At 43.6% G+C, this 21,003-nt stretch overlaps 1 protein-coding gene across 1 annotated transcript in view; it reads left to right on the forward strand.

The window, feature by feature from the left end:
- CFAP61 (cilia and flagella associated protein 61) overlaps positions 1-21,003 on the forward strand; it is a 308,167-nt gene that overhangs the window by 236,720 nt on the left and 50,444 nt on the right. The window contains exons 24-25 of the mRNA NM_015585.4: positions 1,049-1,140; positions 8,930-9,135. Of these exons, the coding sequence (NP_056400.3) occupies positions 1,049-1,140; positions 8,930-9,135 (298 nt within the window). The remainder of the gene's footprint in view (positions 1-1,048; positions 1,141-8,929; positions 9,136-21,003) is intronic.

Here is a 21,003-nt window from a genome sequence, read left to right on the forward strand (position 1 = left end):
TGGTTTGCCCTGACATCTTACCCAAAACTTCCATTCTCTCTGTAAGTTCAGAGATAAGGAGACCCTTCCAGGCAGCCAGGCCTCAGCCTGCTCTGGGGATGGATAAGCTTAACCATTTGCAGCTGTAAAGCAGTGCACTTTTATCCCATAAACCCTTCTGACCCCTAAGGAGGAGATGATTTCATGAGTAATGCAGGGTTCCTTCACGTTTAGGGTATGAGAAATACCTTTGAAAATGGTGTTTCTGAATGTTGTGGACCTTTTACCAGAAAAATGCACATATTTACAAAATTACGTGTTCCCTTCCTGGAGGTTTATAGATGAACCCACAAAGCTGTACATAGACCCCCAGGGTGTCCATGAAGCCCAGTCCAGTCAATGGAATGTCAGATTACAGAGACGAAAGCCCCACATTCCATCCTTGTCTTCCTCTTCCTAACTAGGCAGCCCCACAAGGTCTTGCTCTGCTTCTCACTCTGGGTGAGACCTGAGGAAAGGTGGTGGCCGTAGGCAGGCAAGAGAAGGGAGGGCTGTCAGAAGCCAGAGCTGGCACAGGCCCAGACCTCAGGAACAAACCAAAATATTAAGAATTCGATAATGACAGTTTCTAAAACATTGAACAAAGAACTTTGTTGATAGTCCTAATTAAATTCAATTTTTTAATATTTTGGCTACATTTTGGAGAAGTGATGAGGAATAGGAATGCTGTTTGCAACATTTAAGGCTTCTAAAGGTCTTGATCTGGTTTTGGCAGATACAGGTTAAAGGGCGGGGAGCTCCGGATAATCACAGGATACACAAGATCGGCTTGGCACATCCTGGAGCAATGGCGGCTACATTATGGGATATCATATCACATTCACATCAATTTGGTTAAATAAACGTCAACCACCCCAGGGAGTTCCTTGTTGTTAGTGGTACTTTAGTGTGAAAGTTTGAGGAGCATACGCCACTGCAGGCATCTGTTTGTCCTGTGATGAAAATATGAGCTCTGTTACTCACCTCATTAACAATTAATTTTAAATGGAAAACTTGCCATCTCTTCTAGGGGGCATTCTTCCTGGGTCTTACCATTATCTGCATATTGCCAAGCCTGCCATTCCAACTCCCTTGGAGGTACAAATGGCACAGCCTAATTATGTAAGTATTATTTCTGAATTTCATTTTACTTTCAAATACAAAACTTTGTTTATAAGAGGATGAAATTCTTTACTTGGAGTCTTTACTGTAATGTGTTGGTTCACACATCAGAAGCCCACTGGAGTAATCGTCCCCCAAGATGGCCCTTAGTGACTCTCGCACCTTGGTCTTCATGCCCTTGTGTGGCTCCTCCCACACTGAGTAGGGCTGACCTGTGTAGCCAACAGGATATTGGGGAAATGACTGTGTGACTTCCAAGGTCAGGTCAGGTCAAGAAAGATACGACAGCTTCCAGCTTGCACACTTCTAGATGACTTGCTGCCATGCTGTAGGGACGCCTTTAGAGAGGTCCATGTGGCAAGGAATTGAGGACTCCTGCACCAGTCATGATCAGTTTGCCAGGCAGACGAGTGTGCCACCTTGAAGTGGATCCTGCAGCCTCCTTCATGCCTTCAGGTGACTGCAGCCCCAGCCAACATCTTGACTGAAAACTTATGAAAGGCCTTGAGCCAGAACTCCCTAGCTAAGCCATTTTCAGCTTCTGACTCCCAGAGACCGTGAGATAATAAAAATTTATTATTGTTTTATGCCATTACTTTTTTCAATAGACTTTATTTTTTAGAGCTGTTTTGGTTTCATAACAAAATTGAGCAGAGGTACAAAGATTTCCCATGTAACCCCAACCCTTCAAAAGACATATAGCCTCCCCCACTATCAACATCCCCCACCAGTGATATATTTCTTACAATTAATAAACCTACACTGACACATTATTATCAACTAAAGCCCATAGTTGACATTAGCGTTCATTCTTGGTTGTGTACATTCTGTGGGTTTGGACAAATGTATAATGACACATATCCACCATTACAGGATTATACAGAGCAGCTTCACTGCCCTAAGAACCCTCTGTGCACTGCCTGTTTGTCCCTCCCTCTGTCCTAAGGCCTAGCAACTACTGATCTTCATACTGTCTCAGTCACTTTGCCTTTTCCAGAATGTGATATAGTTGCAGTCATACAGCCTATCGTCTTTTCAGGTTGGCTTCTTTCACTTAGTAATATCCATTTAAGCTTCCTCTATATCTCTTCATGGCTTGATAGCTCATTTCTTTTTGGCACTGAATGATCCTCTATTGTCTGGTTGTATCGGTTTATTTATCCATTCACCTACTGAAGGACATTAAGCCTCTACATTTTGAGGCAACCTGTGATGCATCGATAGATAACTGAAATATCCACTTTCATGTCAATGGAGCAAGTAGATTGCTTAGCATCTGGAATGGCCATGGAGACCCCACTGTTTTCCTCCCCTCCAGGAAAAGCAGAAGCTGTGCAGTTGGGAATTCTGCTGTTTAAAGGACACAGGTGGTTGGTCAGTTGAAGAGCTCCTCTAATAAGATTCTCTGACCCATAGTCCCAGCCCGGTGTGTGTTGTCATCTGGGGGCTTCCTTTTGGATATGTCACGTTTGATTTTTAATCAATGAGGCAGATTGGAAGCTGTCTACTTAACTTCCATTCCCATTTTCTTCTCTTGAATATTTTTGAGGGTAAACAATATGACCAACCTAAAATAAACACATTTCCCAGATTTCCTCAAGGACAGGGTCAGCCATGTGGCAGGTTCTGGCCAATGAGATGTAAGCAGAAGCTCTTGGAAAAATCCTTAAATGGGGGCCTACTCAAATGGCACAGGCTATGGGTTCTTCACCCTTCAGGAAATCTCAATCCTATTCCATTTCCTTCCCATGGACCTTGAACAAGTTCTTCAGCATCTGCATTTCTGGGATTGCTGGGGAGCATACATAAAGTAACATTGTCAGGAACAAAACAGGTAGCCAGTAAGTGGTGAAGATGGCTGTTTTAATCATTATTCCAGATAAATAATGAAACCCAGTTCTTCCAGGAAAAGGGTAGATGCTGTATGTTTAAAACTTATTTCCCTTAGCCCTTTCCCAGATTCTTTTAGTTGCCCTGTACACATGATCTGATGCAACATTTTCTTATAATAAAGGAAACCATAAGATCATCATAGTGTTCCAGTTTCTATTGCTGTATAAAAAACACCTAGTGGCATAAAACAGCCATTTGATCCTGCTTACAGATCCTGTGAGTCAGGAATTTGGACAGGGCACAGTGGGCACAGATTGTCTCTGCTCCACACTATTCACAGCCTTAGATGGGAAGACTAGAGGGTTAGATCAATGGTCCAGATCATCTGAAGGCTTGTTTACTAAATCCGAAAGCTTGTTACTCAGCTGGGCTGGGATGACTCAAGGACCGGAAGTGTTCACCACAGCCTCCCCACCTGGGCTGTCCTCAAGTGCCTGGGCTTCCTCACAGTATGGTGGCCTCAGAGTAGCCAGACTGCTCACGCAGTGGCTCTGGGCTCCAAGTGCAAGTGTTGTTACTAGCAAGCTGGAAGCTGCGTTGCCTTTTATGACCCACCCTCAAAAGTCCCACAGCATCACTTCTCCCACTCTCTCTGTTGGAGCAGTCACAGCAACCACCGAGATTCAAGGGGTGGGGAATAGAGAATCCATCTCTCAAGGCAGAGAGTGTCAGGGTCATATTGCGGGACGGTGTGTGGGATAGGGACACTGTCGTGGCCATCTTTAGAAAGTAAATCTGCCACCAGTGAGGTGGGGCATGAGGTAAATAGGATAAAGCCCAGAGTATTCACAGGCTAAGCACTTTGATCATCACAGATAAATAACTCGAGTCTAATATGCACAAGAGCTAGAACATATTGGACTTGGTTTCAGCCAGAACCAGATTCTTCAAGGACAGTGCATGATTTCCTACATGCGGCATCGTTTATTTATGAGCCACCGACTCTCTCTAAATAAAGTCAGAGGAGGAGCCAAAAGGGGTTTTTAGATAATGAGAGTTTTAATAAGAGTGCAACTTAAATAGATTCTTTGGCTGGTGCTATGACAGTATGTGAACAGGACCCCTGACTTTAATTAACCATTTTGCCAGGTGGGCCTCCTTTTTAATTAGTACAGAAGATCTAAACAGATTTTTTTTCCATTTTATTATCCAAGAAAGAAAAATGTAGGATGGCTCCATGGCAATCTTTTGGGGTTGGAATTAATTTGATTAAGTGAAATCGTTGCCAAAATGGTCAGGCAGTCACCTAAATATAGCCAATTGATCAAGAATGGAGCCCATTGAACAATATTTCGCCAGAGAAATTGAATTACTATTCATACACTAGATATAGCACAGACAAATCTTATCAGACTTTTATAGTGCTCACTAATTGGAATATTTAAGTCGGAAGATACTGTAGTAATTCATGAGCTCTTTGAGAGGTAACCTGACAAAAGGAAGAAAGGGGACCCCAAGTCGTCTACATAATAAACTAATTTACAGATTCCAGTCCACATGCTTTGTTGGCGTATATACCATGGAAGAAAGAAATTTGTCACAACAAATTCTGCCTTGGATACCATCAAATTTAAAATTGTGTGTTCATCATGAGAGCTGGGAACTTGATTTCTTGAACACCAAGTCTGATGAATCCTGTGTCTTCCATTTGGCATGAATTCCAGAACCATTTTCCAACCTTTGTCAAAATCATAAAGGACCTCAAAAGGATAATTATATTCAGGGAAAAAAAGAAGAAGAAAAACCACATCAGAATCAGTGACTCCATCAAAATCTTAAATTTAATATCCAAATTTTTAAACAATTTGCTCGTATACTTAAAATAGGGGAAGACACCAGATATACCCTACCAAACCGGAAGGTTGCAAAATAATCGTCCTGACCCCAGAACCCTGCACCATGTGGGCAGGGCTGGGAGGTGCCCTACGGCATCACTTAGTGGAGCAGCTTTCTATGAGCAATTGCAGCAAGAGTTCTGGGCTTCACTGGGTTATCCTGTTCTGTCAGCGACTGTGAATAGGAGTGGCCTGCACTACAAGGGTAATTTGTGTCTGAGAAACCCCTGTTTGAGTGAATTGTATTTAACATGAATACAACATATTTTGATGCACTCTCAGTTCCCAGATGGACCCCTCCAGTGATGCTAATGTGGTGCCAAATCTCCTTCAAATGGACACTGCTCCTTCCAAAGTTAAGATCAGCCATCAGTGCAACCTCCTCATCGCTTTCTCTAGTGTAGCTGCTTCTGGACTCTAAGCCCTCATTTCTGTAAGGCCCTGTATGCCAGGATTATGCGGACAAAACTTACAGAGGAGGCCAAAATATGATAATGCAGTCTTTACGTTTAAAAATAATACCAAAAGGTCGGGCGCGGTGGCTCACGCCTGTAATCCCAGCACTTTGGGAGGCCGAGGCGGGTGGATCATGAGGTCAGGAGATCGAGACCATCCTGGCTAACAAGGTGAAACCCCGTCTCTACTAAAAATACAAAAAATTAGCCGGGCGCGGTGGCTGGCGCCTGTAGTCCCAGCTACTCGGGAGGCTGAGGCAGGAGAATGGCGTGAACCCGGGAAGCGGAGCTTGCAGTGAGCCGAGATTGCGCCACTGCAGTCCGCAGTCCGGCCTGGGCGACAGAGCGAGACTCCGTCTCAAAAATAATAATAATAATAATAATAATAATAATAATAATAATACCAAAAAATGCAACAAGTCCATAACAAAAAAAATCACTAAAAGTGATGCTGATGACAGACTCTCAAGGAACAGGATGACATTTAAGGCCACAAAACGCTCAGACTCTCACTGCTCTCAGCCTGCAGCCTGCAGGGCTCCTCAAGGACTTGACAAGTCACCACCAACTAAGTGACTGTGACCCTCGTCTTGAGGTGCACAGCCTCGGCCACGTACATGGAATCCAAGTCAGCCCTCCTAAACACAAAGAAGTCCTTGTAAGCTGAAGGTGGGGGATTTAGTGAGACTCTTGGCAAAGTCAAGATTTGTTAACCACATGGGTGGATCTCAAGGTGTGCCCCCTTGACACCTGGGCTCCCTTTCTTAATCACTTCCAACAATGAAACCTAAAAGGAGGAGGAGGCCTGGGGAAGCCTGGCAGATAAAACTGTGCCAGAGTCTGTGGTGCGTCCTCTCCCAGACAGCAGCCTTACTGCCGTGGTGCAGGAGCCACCCCTCCTCAGAACTCGCCTGCAGTTTTCCAGCTTTTTCACCAATCATCCCTTACTGTGACGGGGACATGTACCCCTGGGTTCAGAAGCCAAACCTAAAGCTGCTGTTTCCAAACTCAAATGGTCTTTCAAGTCTTGTGTTTAATTTAGAAATACACATGGCGGTCACATTCTTCACTGTGTATATATCTACATATATTTTAATTCTGAAATACTGCTGAATATCCTGGGCCATCAGGTAAAGTTGACACCAGGGGTTATTCTGTGAGGTCATGCGCCCCCACCCCCACCCCATGCAATGGTGTGAGTCATTGCTCAGACCACGAAGTCAGGACTTGAGGAAACACACGGGAATGAGCAAAGCCCATGTGGCATCCAGGCCTAGAGAGATGCCTGTGGCAGGAGCTGAGGGCAAGGGATGAGCAGAGGAGACCAGGCCCCTGCAGCCAGAGGCTCAGTCCTGGCTTTTTCCAAACTCTTCTCCAGAGGAGCCCGCCCTTGCACACCAACGCCTGCATGCTTCCCTCCTTCCTTCCTTCCTTCCCTCCTTTCCTTCCTTCTTTCTTTTCTTCCTCCCTCCCTTCCTTCCCTTCCTTCCCTTCCTTCCCTCCTTTTCTTCCTTCTTTCCTTCCTTCCTTCCCTCCCTCCTTCCCTTCCTTCCTTCCTTCCTCCCTCCCTCCCTCCTTCCCTCCTTCATTCCTTCCTTCCCTCCTTTCCTTCCTTCACCTCCTTCCCTTCTCTCCTCCCTTCATCCCTTCCTTCCTTTCTTCCTTCCCTCCCTCTTCCTTCCTTTCTTCACCCCTCCCCCTTCCCTCATCCCTTCCCTCCTTCCCTTCCTTCCTTCCTTCCCTCCTTCCTTCCCTTCCTTCCTTCCTTGCTTCCTTCCTTCTTTCCTTTCTTCATCCCTCCTTCCCTCCCTCCCTCCTTCCTGCCTTCCTTCTTTCTTTCTTTTCTTTCTTCCTCCCTCCCTCCTTCCTTCCCTCCTTCCTGCCTTCCTTCCTTCCTTTCTTTTTCCTCCCTCCCTCCTTCCTTCTTTACTCCCTTCCTTCCTTCCTTCCTCCCCTCACTCAATTTGTTCATCAAAAAATCTAGTTCCTTGCCATGCCACAGCCTGAGTATTTAAAAATAACTTTTCCTCATTTTAGAAGTAATGATCATTTTTTAAAAATTAGAAGCTGCAGATAGTCAAATAACTGTAAGGATAAACAATAAAAATGACCCAGTCTCCCAACCACAGAAAGTGACCGTTAACATTTTGTGAAAATGTTGATACAAAACAAATGAAATGATACTGTGCATTTTTGTAAACTACTTCTAAAGCATAAAATGTACTGTGAATATATCTCCCTGTTATGAAATATATTTTAACACTAATTTTTTTGAATACATTGTCCCCCATTGTCGGTGGGCCATTGTTTTTTGGATAACATCTTAATAAGTTTGGATTTTTTAAGCACTTTGTTATGGTGGTAGATTTCCCGTCTATCCATCCATTTCTATAAACAAAGGACCATTTCCTCTCCCTTGAAGCACCATCCCCCAACCCCACTTGCTCCTCCCTCACCCCCAAATGCCCAATCTCTCACACACGCACCTGGGGGTGGCCCAGGACTCACCTGTCATGCCTCCTGTATATCTCACCTTGTAACTTTACAGTTGGCTGAGTCCCCCCAGAGGGCTTTGCCATGTGATACCCCAACACCCACCAGTTGCCTGTATTGATGTAAAAGTTAAACCGTGTGTCCTTTTGTTTAGACAAAATCCCCAGGTGATGTCCAGGACTAAGTAAATGTTTGGGATCCAGGCAGTTCAAATTGCCTTGGATTTCTAAATGCCACATTCAAGCTCAGAAGAGAAGCTTAAATCTATATGCACTCAAAGAACATTTATTGAGCGTTGCTGTGTACTAAGGTCAGAGTCTAAGGCCAAAGTGAAGGTTCAGTCACCCCCCACAAAACTCATGTTTGTCTACAGAAGCTTCCCACTGCCTGAGCCAGTGGGGAGCCATCCACGGCTGAAATAGAAGAAGTCACTGTGGCATGGAATTGGAGCAGCATCTACCCTTGTCACTTGGGCTGATGTGGCAATTGGAGGTGGTTTCTACAGGGCAGAAAGTCACAAATCCACACTTTTAACAATTTGTAAACCAGAAAACCACCTGCAGAATGTGTATGTGCATCTCCCATAGCCTTGAACCTTCTTCCTGGGAACAGACCTTTTCAAATGACTGACCTTGCCCAATCCCCGCCATCAGGCCTGGCCTTTTACTTCTTTCTTTTGTTCAAGTAATCTTGAAAATAACTGAAATTATTTCTGATCAGTTTTGACTAGGAGGTTTTTCTCAAAACGATGCTGTGAAAGCAAAGAAATTTAACAGTGTTAAAACACCTCAGAGGAGAGAATAAACCCAGTTCCACTTATTAGCTGGGTGTGCAGTATTAATAAAGGGTTGGTTGTAACCTAGCAACTAGTTTAGAAACACAGAACAAGGCAATCACAGTTTTAAATATCCTTGTAGTCCCTGAGTCCAAGTATGTGGTTTCTGACACACTGTCACCTTCTGCCGAGTTTAGTCAATATCTATTACTGTTATTTGCAAAGAGGGATAAGATATAACCTGTCTGTTATATTTGAAAAATAAATTGCTATGATAAAGTTCCCAAAATCCAGGAATGTTTCTAATGTTGTTTTTCTTGTCCACATCCCTCCTCCAGGGTTTAGAACTAGTAACCGGCAGTGCGAAAAATGGGACTTACTTCCGAATTCATATTAACAAGTATAAAATGGTGGAAACCATCACGTGCCTTTCTAGGGAGCCCTTCCCCGCCTCCAACTACATCCGCTTGTTTGGCCAGCACGAGCAACTCCTCAACAACCTGTGTGCTCGGTACGATGAAAACCTGATCACAGATCTCTATAGGTGAGTTGGACATTGCATTTGACTACAGGGAAATACAAATATATATATAATGTCTGTGAATGAGGGACATGTGTTGTGATGCACCCGAGAGCAAAACGGGAATCCCAGAGAGAGGCTGTGTGGCAGAGATTTCGTTCTAATGAAGAACACCTGACGCTAATGTGGGCTGGGGAGCAGAGAGTCACAGGATGTGTCCACACCTGGCCCCCATGGCCACACCAGGGCCTGGACCCCAGGTGCAACCAAGCCTACCATGGACGGGCTTGGAGGAGATGATATTCAAGTCCCTTTCCACACGGGGCTGCTAAGAGCAGTGGTCAGAAATGTAGGAGGTCAATTTGGGAACAGCATGAGGAAGGGTCTGATCCTGATGGGACTCCGCGATCATGGGACGGGGTGTTTGTGACCCCAGCCTTCCTCCTCATGGCATGTGTTCAGGCAGGCCCAGGGTGGTCATTTGTCCAGCGTTTTGGTAAGGGAATTCCCACACTGACAGGTCGGTTAGACTTGAAACCTTTGTCTTTTCAAACTCTTAAGACACACTTCATCCTATCCATTAGGAAGGCATAGAATTTCCAAGTGGAAAGTTACTTCTGAATGTAGCTTGCTGCTTAGCAAAGTTAGGAGACTTTCCCTATTCACAAAGCAAGGTGATGCAGACCCAGCACCAGAGACAGATGTGGAATGAAAACCATGCAGTTCCAGTGTTCTCGACACCCACAGAAGCAACTGCCAGGATTGCCATCAATCTCTCTTGCCTCTTAAAAATTTTTTAAATTGTAGAATGCATCATACAAACAAAAAAGTATGTGAAATATGTATGGACACTTAAAAGTACTGGAAATCTATGGGCCCACTGCCTATGTTAAGAAATAATTCCTTAACTTAGCAGTCAGGAAGTCCCTCTCTGATCACAGCCCTCCCTCATCTTCGTGGAGGTAGCCACTGTCCTGAAGTTTGAGTTTGTCATTCTGTTGCCTATAAAGCAAGGATCAGTGAACTTCTTCTATAAGGGGCAGATATAGCCTCAGTTGCAAGTACTCATCCCAGCCCTTGCAGTGAGAAAGAAGCCGTAGATGATGTGTAAACAAAAAGACACAGCTATATCCCAAGAAAGCCTCATTCACCAAAATGGGCATTGGGCTGGATTTGCCCCCAGTCATAGTTTGTCAGTCCTTGTTTTAAAGATGTGTACTTAGACACATGTGATTTCCTAAATAATATATTAATTTGCCTTGCCTACTTCTGACTCAGGTTTATGGCTTACCAAAGAAAGCGAGCATTCTGTTTAGCACGGTGTTTGTGAGAACCATCCAGGATGATGTCTGTAGCTGTGGTTCGTTTGTTCTCCCTGCTGTGTGGTATTCCATCATATAATGGTCATGATTCAGTCATGGCTTTTCCTGTTGACTGTATTTACACTGGTTCCAGTTCAGGGCCATTACAATCGGACGTTGTGAACACTGTGGACGTACTTCATGTGCAGAATCTCTCTAAGATATCCTAGCCCTAGAACCGCTGGGTCACGGAACATGCACGTCTTCAACTTTACTAGTTGATGCCCAAATGTTTCCCAAGTATGGTCACGTGCCACATAAACACGTTCCAGTCAACAATGGGTCACACATATAATCGGAGTCCCATAAGATATTAATGAAGCTGAAAAATTTCCATCTCCAAGGGCCACATTCCTGTCACCTAGCACAACACATGACTCACGTGTTTGTGGTGATGCTGGGTCAACAAACCTACTGTGCTGCCCAGTTGGTATAAAAGCATAGCACACAGTTATGTCCAGTGCAGAACACTTGCTGATGATAATAAATGACCATGTTACTGTCTTATGTATTTACTATACTATACATTTTATCATTATTTTCGAGTGTATGCCTTCTACTTATGAAAAAAAAGTTAACTCTAAAACAGTCTCAGATAGGTCCTTTGGGGGTATTCAGAAGGCATTATTATCACAGGAGATGGCAGCTCCACGTGTGTTATTGCCTCTGAAGCCCTTCCAGTGGGACAAGATGCAGAGGTGGAAGACAGTGATATTGATGATCCTGACCCTGCAGGCCTAGGCTAATGTGTGTGTTTGTGCCTCGGTTTGTAACAGAAAGTTTAAACAGTAAAAAGTAAAATAAAATAATTTGTAAATAAGGACATAGATGAATATTTGTGTATAGCTATACAATGTGCTTATGGGGTTCTTTTGTTTTTTTTGTTTTTTTTTTTTTTTGAGATGGAGTCTCACTCTGTTGCCCAGGCTGGAGTATAGTGGCATGAGCTCGGCTCACTGAAGCCTCTGCCTCCCTGGGTTCAAGCAATTCTCCTACCTTAGCCTCCCAAGTAGGTGGGATTACAGGCACGTGCTACCACACCCAGCTTATTTTTGCATTTTTAGTAGAGACGGGGTTTCACCATGTTGGCCAGGCTGGTCTCGAATTACCAACCTCAGGTGATCCACCCGCCTCCGCCTCCCAAAATGCTGGGATTACAGGCATGAGCCACCGTGCCTGGCCTTGTGCTTGTGTTTTAAGCTAAATGTTATTATTACAAAAGAGTCAAAAAGTTGAAACAAAATAAGATTATAAAGTAAAAAGAGTAAGCACAGGTTAACTTATTATTAAAGAATAATAAAGATTGAGAAACATGTTTTTATAAATTTAGTGTAGACTAAGTATACTGTTTATAATATCTTCGGTATTGTATGATAATGTCCGAGGCCTTCGCACCCACTCACCACTAGCTCACTAACTGCCCTAGAGCAACTTCCAGTCCTGTAAGCTCCATTCACGGTAAGTACCCTATACAGGTATACCCTTTTTAAATCTTTTATGCCATATTTTTACTGTACCTTTTCTATGTTTAGATACACCAACACTTAGTATGGAGTTACAATTGCCTACAGTATTCAGTATAGAAACCTGTACAAGTTTGTAACCTAGGAGCAACAGGGGCATATAGGCCAGGTGTGTAGTAGTAGACTAGACTATCTAGGTTTGTGTAAGTGCACTCTAGGATGGTTGCCAACAACGTGTTTCTCAGGACCTATTCCCATCGTTAAGTGACACATGACTGTCGTTATTTATTTAAATTTCCCCCAGCAGTGAATGAGAGAGCTCCTCTTGCTCCACAGACCTGCCAAGCCTTGGTACTGTTAGACTTTTAAATTTGGCCAGTCTAGTGGCATACAAAGGTATCCTCCTAGGGCTTTAATGTGCTTTTCCCCACTTAATGATGCCTTTTCATTTGTTCATGGGCCATTTGTGGCAGTTTCTGTGAAATGCCAATTCATGATATTTGTCCACGGAGCAGGGCTGTCTTCTCATTACTAATTCACAGAAGTTATTTATAAACAAACTGGACACAAACTTGTGTTGGTTATATATTTTTAACCAACTTTGAGGCTTATCTTTTTACTTTCTTTATGATGTCAACAATATTCTTAATTTAATAGAATGTTTGTCTTCTTCAAGAGGGTCTTGGGTATTTTTGTCCTTTCATTCTTCTAATAGTTTTATAATCAACTTGTCAAGATCCATGAAAACCCCATTGGATTTGATAGGAAATGCATTAAATCTTAGATCAATTAGGCAAGAATTGACATATTTGATATTGAGTCCAATATCATAACATAGTATAGCTCTCAATTTAGGTATTCTTTAATGTCTTTCAATAAAGGTTTATCATTTTATCCATGAATGGCTTGCACAACTTTTGTTTGATATGATCCAAGATGCTTTATATTATTTTTTCTGTTTTAAATGTCATTTTTTATGAATTGATGCTTGTGTATACAGATGAACTAATTTTAGTATGGTTCTGTATTCTGAAAGTTTTGAATAATTTACCTGTAGATTTTTAGATTTTCCGAGTAGAAAAATTATATCATCTGCAAATAGTGACAGCTTTGTTTCTTCTTTTCCAACTTTTATACTGTTTATTTCCTTTTCTTGCCTTACTGCACTGGCTAAGATTTGTAATAAAAAGATTGGCTGGGTGAGGTGGCTCACCCATGTAATCCCAGCACTTTGGGAGGCCGAGGCGGGCAGATCACCTAAAATTGGGAGTTCAGGACCAGCCTGGCCAACATGGGGAAAACGCATCTCTACTAAAAATACGAAAATTAACTGGGTGTGGTGGCTCACACTTGTAATCCTGGCTCTTTGAAAGGCTGAGGCACGAGAATCACTTGAACCTGAGAGGCGGAGGTTGCAGTGAGCTGAGATGGCTCCACTGCACTCCAGCCTGGGCGACAGAGTGAGACTGTGTCTCAAAAATAAAAATAAAAAGTTAAGTAGGGGTAGTGAGGGGTAGTGCCCTTGCCCCATTCTTAATTTGAAAGGGAAAGTGTTCAAAATTAAGTGTGTAATAGTTGCCATATGTATATTTTTATAGATGTCCTTTATCAGATTAAGAAAGTTCCTTTTGATTACTGGTTTTCTAAGCATTCTTACCATGAATGGATTTTTATTTTTATTTTTCGGAAAGAGTACTTAGTCCCTGAAACCTTTTATGTGTAAGGATGTCTTCCTAATGCTTTCAAATATAAACTACGTTTTGGTAAGTGTCAAAATTTAAAATCATGAGCTTTCCCTCCTCAAATCTTTGTAGGCTTGGCTCCAATACTTATTTTAAATAATGAAAACTGCAAGTATTTAAAAAATGAATTCATTTGCTCCTTCACTTATATATAGGATTTTCTTGGTCAACCTTACCCAAAATATTTGAGTTAAGGGAGAATTAGCTGTTTGTTACAGAAAGATTTTGGTTGGTGGGGAATGATATGCTAAGACTTTCCGGAAAAAAAATGTTTTCACATTTGACCATATTCAGGGCCCTACCTGGTTTGTTTCTCCCTAAATAGAAGGTGATTCTGAAACAGACTCGGTGAGTTTGAGACTACTACAGGGAGTGCCGCTGTTAACTGATGAGAGTAATAATTTCAAAAGTTAATTTGATTTGTGATGAGTGTTTGGGATGGCAAGACGGGGTGACACTGGCTATCAGGAGGTGCCGATGGACATCTGTCAGAAAGGAGCAGGGACAGGAAGATGGCCGCCAGTCATTTCTAAGTGAGGTCCTGAGAGCACCGCTGTGCCTTGTCAGTTACTCCAGGCGTGTGTTAGTGGGTACATGCAGCTGCGACCACATTCTTTTCAAGTGCCACGAAATGCTGCCAGGTCCTAGTGCTAATTTTTGCGCCAGCACTCCTGCCCTGTCTGTTGTCAGACTGGCTGGCGAGGCTCTTTCCAAGCAGGGTGAATGGTTGAGCTGATTTTGGCCGCGATATGATTACCGATTGATTTCCTGACCTTGGCAGCATCAGCAACGTCCCTCGTTCAGACCAGGCACGTTTCATTTGCGCACTTCCATCCACCACGTCTGGGGCACCTACCTCAGTGCCCGCTGCTGCCGGGAGGGCTGACAGTTAACCAGCTGCATTGTTGTTCTGCAAGTCAGGCATGACTTCAGTATCAGTTCCTCTCCGCATTCAGAGAAATCCTTTGGATCCTTCCTCTCCACTTCCCCCTATCTATTCTCACTCCATCGAGGGCCAAAACAGCGCAGGCACTAGCTGTGCCAATGGGAACGGTGGCAGCCCTGCGGGTCAGATGTTGCTGTGGTAGCCGAGGCCTCCCAGGCAGACCCTGGCTGCCTGCAAGGGGCTCACTTGGAACCATATGGGGACACGAGGTGGCGGCCGAGCTGTCAGCCGCCATGATGCACAGGCAGACAGCTGTCACGGGACCACAGTAAGCGAAGTGTCTGCGGCCCAGGCTGGCTTGGATTCCACCTATATTTTATTCTCTGTTTTTACCTCTGAGTACCAGTACAAACCATTGGCACTGAAGAGAGAGACAGAACTAATCCACCATCGGTGACTGTGTGTGTGTGTGTGTGTGTGTGTGTGTGTGAGAGAGAGAGAGAGAGAGAGAGAGAATTTGATCAATGGATTGATTTACTACTTTGGAAAAAGAATAGAGCCAATTTTATATCGTTTGTTGCTTTCTGAACCAACCAGCATTTAAAGTCACACAAATATGTTACTAAAAATCTTCCTTTCCCCAATCTTCCCCTTAAAAGCATTTGTGCCCCCACAGGCCTCGCTCATGCACACCTCACTCACACGTGTGCACACACTCATGCACACTCACACGGCACTCACAATGTACACTCACTCACACGCCCAGTCACACGCTCACACACACCTGCACCCGCCTCTCCAAAACCTCACAGTGCCCCCGCCTGCCAACTCCCTTGGCAGTATTTAGAATGGCAGCACCTTCTGCCCTGCTGAAAATGCTCCTCCCTTCAGGACACCGGGCGCGAAAGGACCTTCAGTGAGGGTGTGGAGAAGTGGGGAAATGGGAGCTGTGGGTGGAGAGGAGAGGGGAGGCTGAGGCGGCTTCTTGAGATGCCGCCTGTCAGGTACCCGAACACCCCTGTCCCGTGTCTTCTCGGCTTTCCTGACTCCACTCCATCGTCTTTCACCCCCACTTATCGATGACCCTGCAAAAGAGAGGTCTCGCCTACAGAATCTCTCCCTTCTTCACCTTAATTAGCAGTCTGTGCATCCTTTATCCTCGTGGTGTAAATAGGTCTTGCCCTAGCTTCTTTGTATGAGCCCATCAGATACTCATAAACCTTGATTAAACCTCTTTTCACATCTTAACATGCTCAGCTCTCAAAGACTGCCCTCAGACAGCCCGGCCCTCGCGCCCGCGCCACCACCGCCTCCACACTTCCCCGCACACGCCGGTGGCCTACATTTACTGGCTGAGTGTTGCTGTGCACAGTGTTCTAAATGGGATTTGAGCAGCCCTTTACAAGGCTGCCATTACCATTTTGAACTGTGAGGCTCCAGAAGTTCTTCCCTCAGGAAAGCCACCTTGTGTTATCTGTCTTTGGAACTGCAAAGCAGGATGCTGCCAGCCCACGTGGCCCCCTAATTTATTGATTTGACTCCCGTTGGAATAATTTAATCATGACTTTAAAATGTTTTTCTGCGCCTCTGTAGTCAGCAGCCTTTTGCTGTGTTCAGTGGTAAATTGCATACTACATTCCAGGTGCCTGTTTTTCCGGATTTATCAAAATCTTCTTGAATGATGACTGCCCACTCCAGCTTCTCAATTTTTTGGTCCATACCTAAAAGGTGGTGGATGGTAATTCTCCCAATATCCGCCTCATCCCTCACACGCTTCCCTGCGGCCGTGTGCCAGGCCACTGACCTGCTCTCTGTAGACTCTGTAAGGGTTCCTGCTCCTCTGTTTCACTTCAGATCGTGCCAGTCCTGTGCGACCAGCCTCGCAAAGAATCCTTTCCCAAATGATTTGCTAAAAATCAAAATCCATTCTCTTCCTTTTGCTTCCCACTCATTCAATTACAGGCTATTTATCTGCCCTCATAAAAGGCAATCGAGGTCAGTTTGCTCACGTACTCTGGGGATTCCTCATTGACCATGCCTTGGCCTTCTTACTCCAACAGGCAGATCCTTACCTAGAGATGTTTCTGCTACTATTCCAGAGGCCACGAGGCCAAACTCAAATTTTTGAACCTTACTTGTTCCCAAGATGGTCAACTTTAGATCTGGAAGTGTAGACCAAGGAGGAGGCGAAAGTCCACTGGACACAATATGTGTCTGTTCTTATTGGCGATCCTATTCTGATGAAAACTAGGGGTCTTTTTTAGCATATGTCACCTCCCACCTCTTTCCACTATGGCATTTGTGTGGAAGTAACCTTTCCTGGGGTAAAAGGTGAGACCATGTTTGAACTGCCCTGAAATTACAGCCAGCACATGTCTGTTTTCAGATATTCATGCCAAAGATGATAGTGTGGAAGAAAAACAGACTCACCCATTTGCATAGTCCAAAATGAATGTTCAGAGAAATGAACACATGGAGTTCTGCAAGAAGTATGAACTTTGAAACATTTACCTCATTTACCATGAAAATATCACTTGGCATATCATGTTAGTTAGGACTTACTAGAAAGGCTCGGATTGAGATTTTTTATGGTTTTGAGGTATCAGGAATGTATAAATTCTGATTTCAAGTGCCTCAGTCTCACTAGTGTTAGTAAGAATCTTTGCCTGAAGGATAGTGCCCGTCAATGAATGAAAGAAACATGAGTATCCCCCTCTAACAGGCAAGATTTTGTTTTATGTTTAAGGCTTTTATTAATGAGAATGTAAGAAATGAGGGAGGAAATTGAGCCCCAGTTAACATCAATCTGAAGTTGGGGTGAGGGTGGGAGCCCATGTCTATTAACAGGTAACTCTCCACCAGGATTCCCCCCACCCACTGAGTCAACGTGCACTCCCACAGTCCTTACGTTGCCCTTTCCAGGCAGGCAGAGGAAGGCGCTGGCATTCTCCCTGGCTATACAAGAAAACTAGTGCTTTCATTATTTGAAAGGAAATGTGTATATTTAAATCACATATTAATACTAAGGGGAGACAATTTCAGCACAGGGATGGCCCTGCATCCCAGAAGACCGTGCTGAAATGTGAACCGTACATGAAACAAATCATATAGTGTGAGACACAATTTGCACACGTCTGTTGACTCATATCTGCAATATTACGAATAAAAACTGAACTCTTCACCAAGCTTTACAAAAACAAAGAAATACCTTATGGTGAGCCCACCACTGCCACCTCTCAGTTATCCATAGCCCCCGCCCTTGTCTTCTTAGCTGCCACCCCGACCACCCTCTTTGTCCTGTGCCCCTGTGCACACTTGGTATATATCCTAAGAGAATTTAGTTTGAAACTCCTACAGTCTGTAAAAGCAAATCATCACTTCCCTTTCCTTAACATGGAAAGGACACTAGACTAAGACCAACAGAGGGGTCAAATTCCTGCGTTCTTGCTTATCAGCTTTGTGAACTTGAAGAAGCCATTTAATCTCATTGAGCATCAGTTTCCTCACCCATAAAATGGAGATGTAATCCATGATAAATCTTCCCACATCATGGGATAGAAGTATATGTTGATGGACAGTAAAGTACAAGTGCAAAAAGTTTTTTAAAAGTATGTAAAGTACTATACAAGGGCAGAGCTTTGTAATGACTTTAGCTCGTGTGTTCCTGTTCGCTACACATCAATATTATCCTTTATGGAGAGACAGAAACACTTCCAGCCTTCTATACAGTATTCCCTCCCCCTCCCAAATTAATACAAATTTAAGAAAATGCAGTGCTTCTTTTAATAATTTAAATGAGCAGATGTTTTAAAATTGCATTCGTGTATGTGCTTGCTATATCTTATTTTTAAAATTGTATGGGATTACATATGATATTGAATATGCTTGTTTTCAGAGTCATGCTCTAAGAAAAAAATTTATTTAGAGAGAGGTCATTATCAATAATTAAATAAGTGAGAAATCTGGTGCTTTACTTAGAATAAATGTACTAAGATGAGAGTCGATAATGTACCTCCCAGGGCACTTTATAGAAAAGGGATGGATCAGATGCTTCCATATAAGTTTCACTTAAAAATGATTTCATTTCCAACCACTGGGCACCCAAAGCAGCCAAATACATTCTTAATATCATTTAAAATGTAAAATTATGAGCTGTTTGAGTTGTAAAGTGTGTCTAGAATCTAATGTCATATAGTTTTAAAAGTTGCTTTGGAACATTGTTTCATGCATTGTCGATAATCACTAATACTCTAGACCTGCACTGTCCACTATGAGAGTCAACTGCCCCACGTGACAAGTGGCGACCATATCAGACAGCGGAGAATAGAGCATTTCCATTGTTGTGGAAAGCTGTGTTGGACAGTGCTGCTGTAGGCCAGTTGCATCCATGGAATTTGGAGTGGGCGTGTTGGATGTAGCATCTATGAACAGTCGTTCCCTAAAATGCTAATTGCCAGCCCCATTTGGATCCGACATTCTGACCTGCCGATGTAGCTATCAGATGCGTGCTCAGTGAAGGCCCAGTGGAGACAGAGGAAGTGATTTCTCTCTGTGCCTGTTTTGGTGGGGTCAATTAGAAAACATTCTCTCCAGATCATGTGCCAAAGGTGTACAGATGGGGAAGGGGGCTGGTGTGGGGGAAGGGGGCTGGTGTGGGGGAAGGGGCGGAGCAGGTAAGCTTTCTGGGGCACTTGGTCACTCTGCAGGCCTTGCAAGGGACACTCGGCCTTGCTGGGTGAGATAAAAATTCTGTCTTGCCCTATGCTTATACTTGTTTCAAGCTCAGCTGGCCAACCCCAGGCAGCCTGGCACTTCCCTGCCAGAGTTATGAAGACAACCTTGATTACTAACATACTGTCTTGTTGTCAGAGCCCAAGTCTTGATTTGGGGTTTAGGAATGCTGACTGGTAGGTTCAGAACTGACTTCCATCCCTCTGCACATCTTCGTAAAATCGCTGTTCTTTTCAAACTTGTACAGCAGGAGTTAAAGTCCTTTATAGATTTTCTTCCTCCATTTCATTACATACCCATCTGGCAGCATGTGGTTGAAGGTTATTACTTATGAGTTTAAAATAATAGCTGATGAGCCGTGGTTATCTTTAAGGCTACTAAGCTGCTTTAATATAAATACCTCTTTGCCGAACTCCAAGAAACAACGGAGTTGTTTTACTGTTGTTGGAACTGTGAAAATAAATGCATTTCAGAAATCATGTTCTCATTCTACTGAGCCACGAGAAGGAACTGGCCTGCCTGCCTAAATTTTTTATGGCAAACTAACAATTGCAAAGAGACGCTTTGAAGCCACCTGGGCAGTAGGGATTCACAGGTGCAGCATTCTCCTTCTTTCCCTCCTACACCTGAGTCTTTATAGGTTTCTTTTTGAGGGTTATTTAAGCATATTTGTTTAATTTTTAAAAATTTCCACTCCAAAAGCAATATGTGTTTATTACAGAAAATGCAGAAAAATATTTCAAAAGCCGAGTAGAATATAAAATCTATACCTAATCCCACCACCCAGAACCTATTTTAGATGATTGCACTATGAAATGAAAAGAATTGAAGGGGAACTGCGATTTCCTCCTAGAAATAAGACCTGCAGCAAGCTTGCAGACAGCACAGCTCTCCTTCCTGGGTGCCAGGCAGACCCTAACTGCAGCCCCGCACACCTGTCTCGTACAGGTGAGGCAAGGGAGAACCAGAGTGGCCGGGCTTTCCACGTGCCACAACCAAGACAGTGGCACCAATAGGACCAGAACCAGAGTTTCCTGACTTTCTGTCAAGTTTCCTTCATACAGGACAAATAGGAGTAGGTTTGCCATCATGCAATGACCATTCTTTAGTAAAAGCAGTTGTTGTGTTTGACTCATCATTTACCTATTATAAGAAGATTGGCCAAAAAAAAAATTATGTTTGGGACAGGAGAATAATTTTGCTCTCTGATAAAATACCTCAGAAGATGCCCAGGATAATTCATGTGTGGAGGAAGAAAATATTAGAACTTCTGTTTATAATTTTATCTTTAAAAAAAAAACAGAAATCATGTTTTATTAGTATTCAAAGCACACGCATGGGTGCCCTCTTGGGTCAGATGGAAGACAGCTGTGCATTCTACATGGCCTCAACACACCATAATGGGACAGTGTCACAGCTTGGAGGGGTCAACCTTATTAATTAACTTTGTTTTTGTTTTTGTTTTTTGAGATGGAGTCTCGCTCTGTCACCCAGGCTGGAGCACAATGACACAATCTCAGCTCACTGCAACCTCCACCTCCCTGGTTCAAGTGATTCTCCTGCCTCAGTCTCCTGAGTAGCTGGGTAGCAGGCATGTGCTACCACACCCTGCTAATTTTTGTATTTTTAGTAGAGACGGGGTTTCACCATGTTGCCCAGACTGGTCTCAAACTCCTGATCTCAGATGATCCACCTGCCTCAGCCTCCCA

The sequence above is a fragment of the Homo sapiens genome, chromosome 20 (genome assembly GCF_000001405.40).
Source record: "Homo sapiens chromosome 20, GRCh38.p14 Primary Assembly".
NCBI lineage: Eukaryota > Metazoa > Chordata > Mammalia > Primates > Hominidae > Homo > Homo sapiens.